General features: G+C 52.2%; 1 annotated feature.

The window, feature by feature from the left end:
- Positions 944–1133: a silencer, noted in NCBI's record as "fragment chr19:43847602-43847791 (GRCh37/hg19 assembly coordinates)". NCBI's record gives its function as "represses an EF-1alpha promoter that drives an FKBP-Casp9 reporter gene in an ReSE screen in K562 erythroleukemia cells {active_cell/tissue: K562}" and the evidence as "EXISTENCE:reporter gene assay evidence [ECO:0000049][PMID:32094911]".

The raw sequence follows: 1606 nt of genomic DNA, 5'->3' as shown, positions 1-1606 counted from the left end.
AACCTACCTCACCTTCTCTGAAGCTACTTCCCCCAGGCTTTAAAGGCGGCTGCTCCCCGGGGTTCCTCCCGGGCCCTGCCTCTCCTGGTTCATCTGATCTCCCACCCTCGATGCATCGTAGCTTCCCTCCCTTCCATGTGCTGATGCCTGTCGGATCTCTAACTCTAGGCAGAAACCGGCTTCTCAGTTCCTCAGCTCAAATACCCACCTTGGGACGGGCGTCTGCACCGGGACATCCCTCCAGGAACTCTCCTGGTGGAACACGGTCCATGTTCTCTGGCTGCCGTGCAGTTTTTAAATGCCACCAGTACACATGGGGAATGTTCTGTCTTCCCAAGGAGGAAGCTGGAAAGTTCATTTTCCCAGCACTCCTTGCAGGAGGGACACAGACACGGGTCCAGGCTTTCCCCATCAGGTGCCCCCGTGAAAGACTCAGGATCCCGAACAGCACCAGGAAGCAGAGGGTGCATGGCACCGATTTGCTTTTTGTTTTTAATTTTTTGAGTGGGGATGGGGGACAGAAGCTTCTGGTGTAGAAGCTTCTGGACTCCAGGGCCAGCCTCAGCAGTGCAGGGTGCAGGGTGTGGTTTCTGCCTCCTGCAGTGGCCAGAAGATCTTGACCGGAGCTGTCCTGTGCCTGTGGTTTGGTCCTTGCCCTGGGCCCTGTGGCCTCCAAGCTGGCTTCATGAGGGCCCTTGGAGCTTGGTGACCTTCCTACCCTGTCCTTTAACCAGTCCCTTTTCTGCTTCTTGCTGGAGTGAGCTGGGTGGTTTTCTCTGAATCTGCTCCTGTCCTGGGTTCTCCCTCAGGGAAGGGCACCCTGGACACCCAACCTCTCAGCCGGATGCCCAGCAGATGTTCTCATGCTTCCACTTTCCTTGCCCCTTTACGTCCAGTGATCACTCCTTTCTGTCCCTTCCATGTCCTACATCTATCTCTGCTGTGTCCTGTCTTCTGCACCCTGTGGCCTCCACCCAAGTTTGCACCACCACCCATTCCTCCTTGAATGAATACAGTTGTCTCCCTGGGTCTCCCTGCCTCCACGGGGGACACCAGTATCCGAGCCAGCATCTTCTCTGTGGCAGAGATGATCTTTTTCAGGCCTCCTCCGGCCATGGCCCTCTCCTGTTCCTCTTTCCAGAGCTCCTAAGTCCCCCGGATGAGCTCCAGCTGCTAAGAGAGGCCTCGAATGTTGGGTGAAGTGGTCTCCAGAGTCCTCCCGAGCAGCCGCCCCACCTGCCCTCATCCTTCAGCTCCATTCATTTCCTTTTTCTGTTTGATTTTTTGAATAGGTGTTGTATTTAGATGGCTCAGAAATTTGCATCCTTGTGTATCCATATGTGTGTGCAGGCATGAAGAGCCTGTGTCTCATACCTGTTCCCTGTGCACCCAGGTCCTAGCCCCACACCAGCCCCAGTGGCCAGCTGTGCTGTTCATGACCTGCAAAGCTTTCTACAGCTGTTTTATGCAAAACAATAGGAATTATTGTAAATTATGGTAAAATATATATAACATAGAATTCACCATTTTAACCACTTTTTTTCTTTTCTTTTCTTTTCTTTTCTTTTCTTTTCTTTCTTTCTTTCTTTTTTTTTTTTTTTGAGAA

Source organism: Homo sapiens, chromosome 19 (genome assembly GCF_000001405.40).
Source record: "Homo sapiens chromosome 19, GRCh38.p14 Primary Assembly".
In the NCBI taxonomy this organism is placed as follows: domain Eukaryota; kingdom Metazoa; phylum Chordata; class Mammalia; order Primates; family Hominidae; genus Homo; species Homo sapiens.
Note: the sequence above shows the minus strand (reverse complement) of the source record. Positions and strands in the feature narration are given on the sequence as shown.